The sequence below is a fragment of the Homo sapiens genome, chromosome 6 (assembly GCF_000001405.40).
Source record: "Homo sapiens chromosome 6, GRCh38.p14 Primary Assembly".
NCBI lineage: Eukaryota > Metazoa > Chordata > Mammalia > Primates > Hominidae > Homo > Homo sapiens.
The window spans coordinates 158592734-158609148 of record NC_000006.12 but is presented as its reverse complement, the minus strand read 5'-3'; the positions used below and the strand labels follow the sequence as shown (position 1 = coordinate 158609148).

General features: G+C 46.4%; 1 protein-coding gene across 18 annotated transcripts in view; it reads right to left on the bottom strand.

Annotated features, from left to right (window-relative positions):
* TMEM181 (transmembrane protein 181) overlaps positions 1 to 16415 on the bottom strand; it is a 98790-nt gene that overhangs the window by 26281 nt on the left and 56094 nt on the right. For 17 of the 18 annotated variants that reach the window (NR_164859.1, NM_001376817.1, XM_011536000.2 and 14 more), the window contains 4 exons: positions 3802 to 3882; positions 1806 to 1905; positions 686 to 816; positions 399 to 490 (listed from right to left, as the gene is read on the bottom strand). Coding sequence is in view for 17 of the 18 variants with exons in the window: in NM_001376817.1 (NP_001363746.1) it covers positions 399 to 490; positions 686 to 816; positions 1806 to 1905; positions 3802 to 3882 (404 nt within the window). In the remaining variant the exon portion in view is untranslated. The remainder of the gene's footprint in view (positions 1 to 398; positions 491 to 685; positions 817 to 1805; positions 1906 to 3801; positions 3883 to 16415) is intronic. The other variant, NM_001376854.1, reaches the window with a different exon arrangement.

The following is a 16415-nucleotide window of genomic DNA, read 5'->3' as shown; positions in this document are numbered from 1 at the left end:
TTCACAGAACACAGTTTGATTGTAAGCCTTTTCACCTTTTTTTTTTTTTTTGAGACAAGGTCTCACTCTGTTGCCCAGGCTGGAGTGCAGTGGTGCAATCTCGGCTCATTGCAACCTGTGCCTCGCAGGCTCAAGCGATCCTCCCACCTCAGCCTCCCAGGGAGCTGGGACTACAGGCATGCGCCACCACGGCCAGCTAATTTTTGTATTTTTGGTAGAGACGGGGTGTCACCATGTTGCCCAGGCTGGTCTTGAACTCCTGAGCTCAAGTGACTTGCCTGCCTCAGCCTGTCAAAGTGCTGGGATTACAGGCGTGAGCCACTACGCCTGGCCTGGCCTTTCCACTTTTGTCAAATGCTTTTCATGACTGAAGTTTCACACATAATAGAATTACTCACGTTTGCCATATTCCTAGCGTAACAGAAGCCAACCACAATAGTCCAACAATGAAGAATTTAGGCAAATAGAAAGTTAAACACTTTCTTTCTCCCTAAAAAGAAAAAAATAAGAAGTAAGAAATAAAGAAAACCAAATTGGTAATTGTACATAACGTGATTTTTCCATTGAGTATGGGCCTGCAGACAGGCTTCCATGGATAAATTCACCTTTCTGGGCTGTCCTCAGAGTTCGGGAGGGAGGACACAGTCTGGAACCTCCCCCGGCAGTGAGGGCGGCTCCGGCTCACCTGGACACGAATCCCGTGGTACACGCACAGCCAGAAGAGCAGCAGGGCGCACAGGAACATGGACTGAAAGAGGTCATCCAGCATCCCTGGGAGCCAGCTGTTGACCAGGAAGGAGAGGGGGAAGAACGGATCTGGAACACAAAGGGCAGAAATCCATGTGGAAAACAGGCCCGCCAGCACCTGGCAGACAGCACCCCATACCTCTGCGGGGTCAGCACCTAGCAGAGAGCACCCCATACCTCTGCGGGGTCAGCACCTGGCAGACAGCACCCCATACCTGTGCGGGGTCAGCACCTAGCAGAGAGCACCCCATCCCACTGCAGGGTCTGAGCTCACTACCAGCTTTTCTCCCTGGTCAGAGCCAAAGGAAAGGTAGTGAACCAATGGCTATTTTGTTTTCCAAAACACCTAAAAGCCACTGAACAGATTGCTGCACTGATCACGACAGAGCGCCGTATGCCACTGCCATCAGCTCCTCCCGGAGCCTGGGAGTTCCGACTGCGGCAGCTCGGGAAGCAAACACTTTTGGAGCAGGAAAAGAGGAACAGCCAGCCATGTCTGGCCACCTTCAGCCAAGTTCCAGGACTGCTGTGTCTGTAGCACGTCCAAGTTTTAACTACCGAACAGCCGCCTATTTGTTAGAGAGCCAGGCATCTGCCCCAGCTCGGTGGAACATGGCTCCTGGGGTGGCAGGGAGCACACGGCTACATGTTCCTTCTGGGGCTCCCTACGGGCTCTTCTGGGCCTAGGCCATCTCCAAGATGGCTTCCAGCTTTAGTTTTGTTTTGTTTTAAGAGACAGGGTCTTGCTCTGTTATCCAGGCTGGAGTGAAGTGGTGTCATCATGACTCACTGCAGCCTCAGACTCCTGGGCTCAAGCAATCCACCCACCTCAGCCTCCCAAGCAGTTGGGACCACAGGCACGCACCACCATGCCCAGCTAAATTTTATTTTTTGTAGAGTCTTGCTATGTTACCCAGGCTGGTGTTAAACTCCTGGCTTCAAGCAGTCCTCCTGCCCCAGCCTCTCAAAGTGCTGGGATGACAGGCACAACCCTGCACCTGGCCTCCAGCTTTACATTTTAAAGGGAAAAGTTCCTAAGTAAAAATGGAACTACCCACCATTGTAAAGTAGCAGCAGAGGCAGGAGAACAGACATCCACTTCTGCTCGATGCCCCAGTCTCTCATGGAAAATTTCCGGAGGGAATGCGCAAACAGGCACTGCAAACCAAATCAGGCCTCCAGTTACTGCCTTTGCTCACACCTTGCCTGCAGCCTTTGCTCACACCTTGCCGGCATACCAGGTTGTCTTCTCTAATCAATGGTCTAGGTGCCCCACTAAGAGTCGCTGCCTTAAGCCCTGGCTGAATTGCCTACTGTGTCCTGGAGGCCATCAGTGACAACCAAGACAAGGTTGTTACTTTCTGCAGAGAAGCCACAGCTAAGACAGGTTCCGAGCTGTCCTCACAGGAGCAGGAAAGGAGAAGGAACGTAATCCCTGCAAAAGGAAAGAGGACCCACCCTCTCACCACCACGGCGAGGAAAACAAGGCCCACTTCCACTGGGCCTGCTCCAGAGAGCCAGCACTCAGACGAACCCACCCAGGACACAGGCCACATCTGTGGGTGTGACAGGAGCCTCATGTTCCCGGCAGCGCAACTGCTACAGATGGCAGCAGCTTCCAAGATGGTGCCAGGGCTTGCCCATGAAAAGCCAAGAGAATGTAGGAGTCTTGTAACAAAGGTCAGAGGATGCGTTTCTTTTCAAACACCTCCCTGAAGAAGGTGTGTTAGGCCCATGGAATAAGTTTCTTTAAACTGCTTTAAAACATTATATAACATAATTTTTAGGCCAGGGTTTTGTTGTTGATTGTTTTCGTATAATCTGATATAAGCCAACAGTTTTCTAGGCAATGTGGGTTTCCTTGCCTAGGGACCATCTTCCCTCTTTTTAAGAACATACTTGGGGCCCTGAGTAATAAATAGCTCTTTGGACTCCAGAGTGTGGCAGGAGAATCTCAGGGCATCAGAGAGCCTTTGAGAAGAAGCAAGTGTTTCTGGCTGCCCAGACACAAATAACAGCTTTCTACTTTCATTTATGAAGCTCACTGCGGGAGCCCTGAGATCCTGGAGGCCCTGGGCTGGGCGTAAGCACCACAACCTGCAGCTCCCTGTGGCTCTAGCGCCCACGCCCTTCCCTCCAGCTCCCTGTGGCTCTAGCGCCCACGCCCTTCCCTCCAGCTCCCTGTGGCTCTAGCGCCCACGCCCCTCCCTCCAGCTCCCTGTGGCTCTAGCGCCCACGCCCTTCCCTCCAGCTCCCTGTGGCTCTAGCGCCCACGCCCTTCGCTCCAGCAGAGCACCCCCTCACATGTGCACGCGCCTGTGTCCTTCCATGCACAGTTACTCTGAAAAATACCAAGTGTTCCTGGGTGGACACATTTCCTAAATGTCACCTCCCCACCATCCCGCACAAGGACAAGCAGCTGATGCAGGCAGAACGCCACACTTCGGGCGGCAACAGATCACTAAATGAAGCACACTTTCCCTTCCTCCAATTTACCAATTCTTATCTTTGCAGACTGGGGCTCTGGGGGGGCTCCCTTGGGCTTCTCAGGGTAAGCATTTCCCCCAAAGTCATGTGGGTTTGTGGACACAAACCTCAGATCCCAAACGAGCCCAATGCCTGCATTTCCAAAACACTTCTCTTTGGCCTTATTCCTGAAAATGCCCAAAAACGCAAAGGACTGGCACAACTATAAAAATATAAAATATAAAAACCCAAGAGCATGCTGCATCTGCACTCAGAGAAGCTCATTCAAGTAAGGCAGCTTCCTTCCACACAGGTGAAATGGCACTTTTCACCGCACATGATCAACATTTACTTAAAAGTCACGGACGTGCACTCTACAGAAATCCTGAATACATGATACCACATCATTTTTTCTTGCACGGCAGCATCTCGGCAGACACACAGAGTTGTAATATCAGCACAGCCCACTGGATGGAGCATCTGAGTTCAGATCAATCTCCATGTGGCTTGCACCGAAGATCCTAACTGCATAAACCAGCTTCTTCCTGGCTGGGATCTGCTGCGGTCCATCAGGCGAATGGTACTCACAGTGACGATGAAGGTGAGCACCACAAAGAAAAACCGGAACCAGATTTCCAACCGGGAGAAGGCAGGGTTATAAGTCTTCCACTAAAATAGAAAGTGGAGAAAACAATTTGAAAAAAATATATATGCATCTAAGAGAAAATACACCAGATTACTAATAGTTATCTCTAGATGAGACAATATATACACATACACACACACACACACACACACACACACTTTTTTTTTTTTTTTTTGGATATGGAGTCTCGCTCTATCGCCCAGGCCGGAGTGAAGTGGCGCAATCTTCGCTCACTGCAACCTCCGCCTCCCAGGTTCAATCACTTCTCCTACCTCAGCCTCCTGAGTAGCTGGGATTACAGGTGCCTGCCACCATGCAGGTTAAAATTTTGGAACATCCTACATGTTCCAAAATTTTAACATTTAGTACAGTTTACTTTTTTATCAAAGGACACAGACATAAAAAAATCTTAATTACCAAGAGCGAAAAATAATTTCAAATGTTGTTACATGGATAAATCCGACAAATTATTTTATAATCATAAAAGCATTCGGATCTTATATCTCACATCAAAAATCAAGCTTGTCAATCTCTTTATTAGAAATAGTCATACTTTCCATCAAAAGAAAGTTTTAAAAGATGTAAAAGTGCAACTAGAATGTTGTTACAAAGTTTAAGTAAAACCTTTAAGTATGAATGTGAAAGCAGAAGAGTGAGCTGCAGTTGAAGGAGTCCGTTCTCATGCTGACTGGACAGTCCCACGTGTGCCAAGTGTGCACTGATGGAGCCGAGGACAGGGGCACTGCTGCTGACAGCAGAGCAGAGGCTAGCCACCACCAACCTAAGCACGAGCCAGGTCCATAACCAGACCCCAGAACACTGTGCTCACAGGGCCAGAGAGCCCCATCATTCTGATGCATTGAATTAAAGTCATCTGAGCAATTTAAAAAATCCACTTCAGTACAAATAGAGTTACAGATTTACCTAAAACATCACGCACACACACACACACACGCATGCACGCATGCACAAGGATGATTTAAGACACTGGACCTGAGGAAGCAATGAAGGGTAGTAACCTCTGACTGATGGGAAACAACAAGGGGTGCCCCTGGTGGCCCCACATCATGGAGGGGAACCCAGGCAGAGCCACGGCTGGGAGTCCAGGGAGACAGGGCTGGCCCGAATCCACAGGACAGAGTGCTGGAAAGGAGAGCTGTACAGAGAGAGAACGAACCTCCCAAAAAGCCAGTGCCTGGCACCCACAAGACAGAGAAGAAACTCACCATCAAAGGGCATTGGGTAGCATATGCTGAATGCTTTTGCCTCAGCGTTAGGAAAAAATAAGCCTCAAGACTTCATGCTGCTTTGGCCCCACCTAGCAATGTTGAAAAGCAAGGCCAGAAAAGATCAAACCATTTCCAAGGAAATTAACAACGTCCCAGAACAAAGCTCAGGGATATTTATAAGATATAAAACCTAGCAATCAATAATGTCTGGCATTGAACCAAAAGTACCAGACACACCAAAAAGCAGGAAAATACAAACCATATGAGGAAAAAAACAACGAATCAAAACTGGCCCAGAAATCACAGATGACAAAATTAGCAGATAAGGAAATAAAGCAGCTAGATGAAAGATTTTTGTGTTAAATAAAGACTTGGAAGATGATCAACAGATTAGACACGACAGAGATTGGTAAATGTGAAGGCACAGCAATAGAAGCTATCTAAAATAAAACTAAAAAAAAAAAAAAAAAAACCTGAAAAAAAATCAACATAGCATCGGGAAGCTTTGGACAACTTCAAGTGGCCTAATACAGGGGTCCCCAGGCCACAGACCAATACTGGCCACGTGGCCTGTCAGCAACCGGGCCATACAGCAGCAGATGAGCAGTGGGCCAGCGAGCATTACCGCCTGAGCTCTTCAGGTCGGCCAGGGCATTAGATTCTCACAGAAGCACGAACCTGCTGTCAACTGTGCAGGCGAGGGATCTAGGCTGCACGCTCCTTACGAGAATCTAATGATAAATGAAATGCCCTTGAGTCGTCCCCAAATCATCCCCAACCAACCCTGGTCCATGGAAAAATTGTCTTCCACAAAACCAGTCCCCGATGCCAAAAAGGCTGGGGACCACTGGCCTACTGGCCTAATTTGGGGTTCCTGAATTTGGGAGGTCAGGGGACCAGAAGGACAAAAAAAGTATTTGAAGAGATAATGGCCAAAATGTTTCCGATTTGATGAAAACTATCAACTCACAAATCCAAGAAGCTCAATGGCCAAGCACAAGAAACGAGGAAAAGTACAAGAAGCACCGTGAGAGAAAAATCTTAAAAGGGGGTGGGGAGAGGGAAGAACATTATTACATTAGACGAAGATAAGGACAAAGATAAGGTGGACATCAGATTTCTTGTCAGAAAAATGCAAGCCGGAAGACAGTGACCAACATTTTCAAAGTATGTAAATTAGGCCAGGTGCAGTGGCTCACACCTGTAATCCCAACACTTTGGGAGGCTGAGGTGGGAGGCTAGTTTGAGGCCAGGAGTTTGAGGTGAGCCTGGTCAACAGAGCAAGATCCTGTCTCTACAAAAATAAAAAATAAAAAAATTAGCCAGCATGGTGGCGTGCGCCTGTATTCACAGCTACTCAGGAGGCCAGGGTCAGTGAGCCATGATCATCTCACTGCACTCTAGCCTAGGCGACAGAGCAAGGTCCCATCTCAAAAAAAAAAAAGTACATAAATTAAAACTGCAATGTAAAACCATTAAATACCATTATACACCGATTAGAACAGCCAAAATTCAAAAGACTGACCGTACCGAGCATTGACGGGATATGAAGTAACTGAAACCCTCACACGCTACTGGTGTAACATAAAGTAACACAACCACTCTGCAGAACAGTTTGTGAGTTTCTTAACCACATGGCCCAACCATTCCATTTCTAGCATTTATCCAAGAGAAATGAAAGCATATGTCCACACAAAGCTTTATACACAGATGTTCATCGCTGCTTTCTTTGTGACAGCCCCAAACTGGAAGTAATTCAAATGTCCATCAACAGGTGAATGAATAAACAATTTCTGTTACATTTATACTAGAATATCACTATGGACACACTCATCATCGATCAAGCTCAAAATAATTATGCTACGTGAAACAATTCATATTGGAGAAGTACATATTGTATAATTCCAGTTACATAAAATTCTCAAAAAAATGCAAATAACAGATCAGTGACTTCCCAGGGATGGGAAAGGACAGGAGGAAGGGGCACAAGAAGATGTTTAGGGGTGATGGCTGGTGAGGGGATGCTTATGATCTTGATTGTGGGAACGGCTTCCCAGGTTTCACTGTGTGTCAACTATACCTCAATAAAGCTGCCAAACAAAAACCAACCACTAACAATAGATGGTAATGGGCAAGTGGAGATCACAGTGATTCAGGTTCAAATTCCAGCTCCTGCCATTAATAGTTGGGCAAATGACTTAATCTCAAGAAACTTCAGATTTTCCTCCATAAAATGGGGATGCTAGTAACCTACTTCACATAATTTTTGTATCCTTTTAGCCTTGTTTTTTTTTTTTTTTTTCTGAGACAGTCTTGCTCTGCCACCCAGGCTGGGCTGCAGTGGCGGGATCTCGGCTCACTGCAACCTCCGTCTCCCAGGTTCAAGCGATTCTCCTGCCTCAGCCTCCCAAGCAGCTGGGACTACAGGTGCACGCCACCACTCTCAGCTAATTTTTGTATTTTTAGTCGAGACGGGGCTTCATCATATTGGCCAGGCTGGTCTTGAACTCCTGACCTTGTGATCCACCTGCCTCAGCCTCCCGAAGTGCTGGGATTACAGGTGTGAGCCATTGCACCTGGCCCTCTCCTGGGTTCAAGCGATTCTCCTGCTTCAGCCTCCTGAGTAGCTGGGATTACAGGCATGTGCCACCATGCCCGGCTAATTCTGATTTTTAGCAGAGACAAAGTTTCACTATGTTGGTCAGGCTGGTCCCGAACTCCTGATCTCAGGTGATCTGCCTGCCTTGGCCTCCCAAAGTGCTGGGATTACAGGCGTGAGCTACCATGCCTGGCCTATCATAGCATTTTAATGAGATGATGCGTATTAAAAACTAAGCACAATGCCCAGCAAACAGCAAAAGTTCAGTAAACAATAGTTACTACTATAAACCCAAAACATCACATAACTATTATGATTATTGCTACAGCATTTAAATTTTATAACATTATATCATTTATAGAATTATCAAAGTAACGACTTGAGCATTTGGGGGGAGTGTTGATATAAACATAATATTGAGATTAAAAACGTTTACTACGTCTTAGTCGAACAAACATACTCTAACGCACAGTCAAGAAGAGAAAAAAGAATTGCTACCATCAGAAAAAAACACAAAATACGTCTGAATTAATAGGTCTGAAAGGCTGGGTGGTTGTTTTTACTCTCAAGGAACCGTAACTCTTAAGAAAGAAAATAATCTCAGACTCCCTGGAGGAGGGGGATTCTAGCTTAAGAGTCTGTTAGAGCAACAGAAAATAATCAACTCATTCTCATTAAAAATTACCACTAGGGCCGGGTGCGGTGGCTCACACCTGTAATCTCAGCACTTTGGAAGGCTGAGGTGGGCAGATCACCTGAGGTCAGGAATTTGAGACCAGCCTGGGCAACATCGCAAAACCCCATCTCTACTAAAAATACAAAAATTAGCCGGGCGTGGTGGTGCTTGCCTGTAATCCCAGCTACTTGGGAGGCTGAGGCAGGGAGAAGTGCTTGAACCCAGGAGGTGGAGGTTGCAGTGAGCCAAGATTGCACCACTGCACTCTAGCCTGGGCGACAGAGCAAGATTCCATCTCCAAAAAAAAAAAAAAAAAAAAAAAAAAAATTAACCCTAGGCCAGGCACGGTGACTCACGCCTATAATCCCAGCACTTCGGGAGGCCGATGCGGGTGGATCGCCTGAGGTCAGGAGTTCGAGACCAGCCTGACCAACATGGAGAAACCCTGTCTCTACTAAAAACAGAGACGTGGTGGCGCATGTCTGTAATCCCAGCTACTCCTGAGGCAGGAGAAATCACCTGAACCCAGGAGGCAGCGGTTGCAGTGAGCCAAGATCGCACTGCATTCCAGCCTGGGCAACAAGAGCAAAACTCCATCTCAAAAACAAAAAATTAACACTAGAAAACAATGCTTTATTCAATAAATGTAGCTAATCTAAAACATGCATTTTAGTTCTAAAATGTGAGCTGAGAGCACGCTTTGGTCCAGCTTTCAAATGAGACCCTGCACACCAAACCTGCTATGTGGCCTGCAGGAGGCACGCGGCGCCTTCATCACACTCCATCCGGGCTTCCTTCCTCCTATCATGCGTCCCCATCCTCCTGGTTCCGGGAAAAGCCATTTCCACATGTTCTGACTCTCTGGGAGGCCGCCCCTGTCAGCAGCAGCCAAGCAGAATCACCTGCGTGCTCCTCCTGGGCCAGCCCAGCTGACAGCTCAATCTGACATGCGTTTGTGCCAAGGGCCTGAAAGGCTGAGTTTTCCCAAGCAAGCTGCAGGAAGCCCCGAGAGTAGGGCCCTGGCCCCTCCATGACACACAGCGGCCTCCAGGCGCGCTGGATCCCGTGAGCTGGGGCCAGAAGGTCCACAGGAGCAAGCCCAGCCAGTGCCTCACAGGCGTCCACAAGTAGAGGTCGTTCCGTCCCGTGGGCACTGCCAGGTCCACTGTGTGGACCCAACTCTAGGGTACTGGGTTTGGGGGTTTTGTTTGTTCTGTGTTTATTTTTAAACCCCAAAATACATTTTTGAAATTAAAATGTAAAATAAGTAAAATGAAATAAAGAGTACAGTTCCCAGAAAATACTCCGGCTTAGACATTCCTTTTGAAATCTGAAGCACTGTCATTCGGCACTCAAGCTTTTGCGTCAAGGTCCCTTTGGCATTACAAAGCTGCTGTCTTTGTCCTTTCAGAGCCGAGGCTTGCCCTGTGACACCACGAAGTTACCTTTGGAACAAGTGCCCACACCATACCCTGGGCCACTCCTCCCTGATTAAATCTCCCATGCGCCCATCCATCCATCCACATCTGCTGAGCACAACCTTGTCCTCCGTGCAGGCACAGGTGATGTCAATTCCCATGCAGCACGAAATAAGTGACTTTAACAAAAATATGACCAGTAAAAGGCCTCCAGGAGCTGACTGGCTCTTTGGCACAGAACAAACGTTTCCTCACATCCTCAGAGTCCTCTGAATGGACAACCACAGAAACAGACCGCGGGAGGGACGTGTCACAGCGACCTGTGCAGCACCAAGCAAAGGGCCTGGACTGGAGGCCCAGCTTCAGATTCACAGCCTGGGTCCCCATGTTTAAAAACAACATGAAATGGCCGGGTGCGGTGGCTCACGCCTGTAATCCCAGCACTTTGGGAGGCCGAGGCAGGCGGATCACGAGGTCAGGAGATCAAGACCACAGTGAAACCCCATCTCTACTAAAAATACAAAAAATTATCTGGGCGTGATGGCGGGCGCCTGTAGTCCCAGCTACTCGGGAAGCTGAGGCAGGAGAATGGCCTGAACCCGGGAGGCAGAGCTTGCAGTGAGCCGAGATTGTGCCACTGCACTCCAGCCTACGCAACAGAGCAAGACTCCATCTCAAAAAAAAATAAATAAATAAAATAAAAATGAAAATGAAAATAAAAAAATAAAAATAAAAAAAAAAACATGAAACGCACTGTCCAGGAATACTGGGGGGTTGGAAATGACAACGATGTAGCAAGCACAGGTCTGAGAAGCCGGGCAGCACTCAGGAAAGTACAGTAAGCACAGGTCTCAGAAGCTGGGAGACACTCAGGAAAGTATGGCCAGGCGCACTCCTCTCAGTTTCCCTGGGAAACTGCAGGGCAGCCTCAGGTAGGAGCCTGAAGGACTTGAGACGTGAGTTGCTGTTTTCATCTCACTCCCCAGTCAAAGGTCATGGCTTAGAAGAAAATGGAGGAAATGAGATGTGAACAGCTGGCCACAGAGTGTCAATCAAAACTCGGCCCGAAAAACACTTAATCAGAGGAAAAAATGCGCAGAATAACCAAGAGGACTCAGGGTGCTGAGGATGACGCATGTGACGTGCCCAGAGAAGGTGCCTGCAAAATCTCAGGAGAAAAGAACAGGAAAGTGAGTACAAGTGATTTTTGTAGTGTCAAAGGTCACTGCATATGCAGAGCATGGCTGATGAAACCAACTTTTTAAAAAACACAGGAGGTAAGCGTCATCCCACAAGTGCCAGTGAGACCTAGTGAGTGGTCTCATGGCCTGAACGTGGCAACGGGTGTGGGCACGACGTATTCCAAAGAGTAAGAGCTGATACAAGAGGGATACAGAGAAGGAGCACCACTTGCTACAGTTGGAATCTGTCCCCTCCAAATTTCATGTTTAAACTTAGCCCCCATTATGGTGGTATTGTGAGGTGGAGAATTTGGTAAAGTGATTAAGTCATAAGGACTCTGCCCCCATGAATGGATTTGCACCTTATAGAAGGGGTAGAGGGGCACGGTGCAGTGGCTCACACCTGTAATCCCAACACTTTGGGAGGCCAAGGAGGGAGGACTGCTTGAACCCAGGAGTTCAAGCCTGGGCAACACAGTGAGACCCCGTCTCTAGAAAATAAAAAATTAAAAAAATCCAAGCCAGGCATGGTGGTGTGTGCCTGTCTGGTTCCAGCTACTCAGGAGACTGAGGTGGAAGGATCGCTTGAGGCTGGGAGGTTGATACTGCACCGAGATGTGATCGTGCCACTGCACTCTAGATTGAGTGACAGAGCAAAACCCTGTCTCAAAAAAGGGGGGGCTAGCTGAGGCCTCCTTTGTCCTTCCATCCCTTCCACTGAGGGCACAGAATGTGTCCTTTCCAGAGGATACAGCAACAAGGTACCATCCTGGAAGGCAGAGAACAGCCCTCACCAGACACCAAACCTGCCAGTGCCTGGATCCTGGACTTCCCTGCCCTCCAAAACTGTAAGGAATAAATCTCTATTATTTATAAATTACCCGGTGTGTGGTGTACAGTTACAGAAGCATAGACTAAGACACCATTCTATCTACTTAAAAGATAAACATTTAAGTAGAAACAAATGAACCAAATGTTCATGGAAAATGGGGTTGAGAACAAAAGGAGAGAGAAATCAGCTTCTTGAGTTAAAGGGAGACGGCATCAACAACAGTGCCAGATGGAGGACACAGCCCACATGACAGGCTCAGGCAGGAAGGGGCCATCGACCATCTAGACATCTGCTCAGCACAGACACCTTCCACTGAAAACAGAGCCTCATCTGAACACGCTGGGTGCAGGGTGACAATTTTCTCTCAGTACATTAGGGAAGTGATACGGTTTAGCTGTGCCCCCACCCAAATCTCAACTTGAATTATATCTCCCAGAATTCCCATGTGTTGTGGGAGGGACCCGGGGGAGGTCATCGAATCATGGGGACCAGCCTTTCCCGTGCTATTCTCTTGATAGTGAATAAGTCTCACGAGACCTGATGGGTTTATCAGGGTTTCCACTTTTGCTTCTTCCTCATTTTCTCTTGCTGCTCCCATGTAAGAAGAGCCTTTCGCCTCTCGCCATGATTCTGAGACCTCCCCAGCCATGTGGAACTCTATGTCCAATTAAACCCCTTTTTCTTCCCAGTCTTGGGTACGTCTTTGTCAGCAGCATGAAAACAGACTAATACAGGAAGCAATCAGGGTCATTTTTACCCTGAATTTGATTGTCATCAACAAGGAAGAAGAGCTGGTTAGTGAAACAAACAGTGGCACCAGGGGAAGGTGTCTGTGTGATTCTGGTGCTCTTTTATCAGAGCCAAGGGCACCACCAGGCTCGGTGAAATGGAGCCCAGACTCCAGGAATGCAGAACTCAGAACTAAGATTTCCCAAGGAAATGCCAAACAAAAGCAACAGAAACCCTCAAAGGTTGATTGTGTCAGTACAGCCAGCCACACACGGCACTGCTGAAGAAGCAAGAGCTGTCTCAAGAAACGTGCGGCCGTACAGGCGGCAGCTCCAATTTATCAGGCGCACTGTATACCGTTAAGTTCCTACTGAAGGTAACGTGTATAAAGAATTGGACAGGTATTGGGCCAGGCGCAGTGGCTCACACTGGTAATCCCAGCACTTTGGGAGACTAGGCGGGCGGATCATGAGGTCAGGAGATCAAGACCATCCTGGCTAACGCAGTGAAACCCTGTCTCTACAAAAATACAAAAAATTAGCCAGGCGTGGTGGTGGGCACCTGTAGTCCCAGCTACTCGGGAGGCTGAGGCAGGAGGATGGCATGAACCCAGGAGGCGGAGCTTGCAGTGAGCCGAGATCGCGCCACTGCACTCCAGCCAGGGTGACAGAGCAAGACTCCGTCTCAAAAAAAATAAAAATAAATAAAAAGAATTGGACAAGTATCCTAAATTACAGTTCAATGAACGTCACAAATTGAACACACCTGCATAAACAGTACCTGACCAAGACACAGAACATCACCAGCACCCCAGAAGCCCCCCGCTTGATGCTCCCTTCCAGCCACTAACCTACCCCAGAGGAACACTAACCCTGATTCAACAGCACAGGTTCATTTTGCCTGTCTTTGTAATTTATATAAATGGAATCATACACTCCGTACTGTTTCGTATTTGGCTTATTTCATTCAACATTATGCTTCAGAAAGTCCTCCATGACATTACATGAAGCTATGAAGGTTCATTCTCCTCGCTATATAGTATTCCATTATATGAATATAGCAGAATTTATGCACTCATTTTGCTGCTAGTATACAGTTTACAGTTTGGCTATTAAGAATTGCGCTGCTGTGAATATCTAAATACAAGTCTTTTGGTCAATATACGTATGCATTACTGCTGTATCAATTTACACGCTCCCCAGCAGGGGGCAAGGGCTCTGCCTGCCCCACATCCTTGCCAGCTTCAGCATATTCTGTCTTATTTCTGCCATTCTGGTGGGTGTGCAGTAACACCACTAAAATACCATTAGCGTCTATCTATTCATTATAGCTTGTTTACTTCCAAAAAGAAATGAAAGCAGCTTATAATAAAAAGCCAGATTAGATAGAAATAATTTTTAAAGTGTTTTAAAAGGCAAAATAGTGAAGAAAGAATGCAGATAATTATACCAGAAATCCATACCAGGATGTTAGTAATTAGTACAATTCAGCAAAAAACTGATTTCTGAAATATCTGACAGCCAGTACCAAGAGAAAAATGCAATGCATCCCATGGCTTTCACTCTCTAAGAAAAGGCATTATAACAAATAGCCAAAGAAATTCTGTTTTTGCTTTTTGATATTTACCCAAAGAAGTTGAAAACGTAGGGGCCAGGCATGGTGGCTCATGCCTGTAATCCCAGCACTTTGAGAGGCTGGATAACCTGAGGTCAGGAGTTCGAGACCAGCCTGGCAACATGGTGAAACCTCGTCTCTACTAAAAATACAAAAAGTATCCGGGCATGGTGATGGGCATCTGTAATCCCAGCTACTCAGGAGGCTGAGGCAGGAGAATCGCTTGAACCCAGGAGGCAGAGGTTGCAGTGAGCTGAGATTGTGCCATTGCACTCAGCCTGGGCAACAAGAATGAAACTCCATTTCAAAAGAACAACAACAAAAAAGAAGTTGAGAACTTATGTCCACACAAAAACTTGTATACAGATGTTTATAGTAGCTATGTTCATAATTGTCAAAACTTAAAAACAACCAAGATGTTGTCCTTCAGCCAATGGACAAACAAGCTGCAGTACATCCAGACAATGAAATATTATTCCATGATAAAAAGAAATGAGCAATCAAGCCATAGAGAAAACTTAAAATGCATATAACTTAGTGAAATAAGTCAATCTGAAAAAATTACATACTATATGATTCCAACTAGATGACATTCTGGAAAAAGCAAAACCATGGCCTGGCACAGTGGCTCACGCATGTAATCCCAGCACTTTCGGAGGCCGAGGCAGGCGGATCACCAGAGGTCAGGAGTTCGAGACCAGCCTGGCCAACATGGTGAAACCCCGTCTCTACTAAAAATACAAAAATTAGCCACGCATAGTGGTGCGCACCTGTAATCCCAGCTACCCAGGAGGCTAAGGTATGAGAATCACTTGAACCTGGGAGGCGGAGGTTGCAGTGAGCTGAGATCTCACCACTGCACTCCAGCCTGGGCAACAGACTCTGTCTCAGAAAAAAAAAAAAAAAAAAAAAGGCAAAACCATGGAAATAGTAAAAAGACAAGTGGTTGCCAGGGGTGTGAGGAGGAGGGAGGGATGAACAGGTGAAGCACAAAGGATTTTCAGGGCACTGAAATGAACTCTACGGTACTACAAATAGTGGATCCTACAGAATGTACAACACCAAGAGGGAATTCTAATGTAAACTGTGGGCTCTGGGTGGTGTGTCAATGTGGGTTCATTAACTGTAACAAATGTACCACTTTGGTGCGAGATGCTGACAATGGGGGAGGCTGTGCATGTGTGGGCGGAGAGAGCATTTAGGAACTCTCTGTACCTTCCTCTCAATTTTGCTGTGAAACTAAAATTGCTCTAAAAAATAGTAATAATGTGGGAAAAAAAAGAATTATATTTGGAGGTTTAAAGTTCACAACACAATGTCTTCAACAGCAATTTTATAAAAGACATACAAACACTTTGCATACAGTTCTCTAATTTCTTAGTGCATCTCTCTACAAGCTGCCAGCACAATGTTGATTATGCGATTCTCCGAGGATACTGAGTCAGACCAGAAGAAACAGCATGCAGGGCTTGCCAGCACCTGAGGTTCTGGGATGGATACTGGCATATGCCCAGGACTTCCCCCTTCAAATATTAGTTGCCTCAGGAGTTTTTGTTTTGTTTTCAAATAATTTTCTTTTCAGGTAATAAAAATAATAAACATTCATTACGGGAAATAAAGGAAAACACAGAAGAAATTAAACATTAATCCCACCACCCAGAGACAGCCTTCTAGACGTCTAGTTTTCTATAATAGAAACACTTCTAATTCACGTGCTTTTCTTGTCTTAAATCAGTATATATAGTTTGTGCTAGCTATCCTATTAACTTATTATTTTAGTAGCTACAGAACTAATTTATTTAACCAGAAATCTACTGCTGAAATACAGATCGCTCCCAACTTCTTACTCTGAGGAATAGGTTTGAACATAAATCACTGTGTATGTTTCTACTTCCTGAGTATAAATTTCTAAAATTAGAATTACTAAGTCAAAAAGAACATGGAAGTAGAGGCTTTTATACATTGCTAAATTACCCCAAAAGTTAAATCAGTTCACACCCCCCCACTCATGTGTATGAGAAAACTTGTGTCCTTGCATTTCGCCAACCCTGGATATTATCTTATTTGTTGTTTTTAATATTTGCATTTTTTTTAGACAGGGTCTCACTCTGTCACCCAGGCTGGAGTGTGCAGTGGTGTGATTACAGCTCATTGCAGCCTCAAACTCCCAGGCTCAAGTGATCCTCCTGCCTAAGCCTACCTAGTAGCTGGGACTACAGGTGTGCACCACCATGCATGGCTAAGTTTTAAACTTTTGTTTAGAGATGGGGGTCTCAGC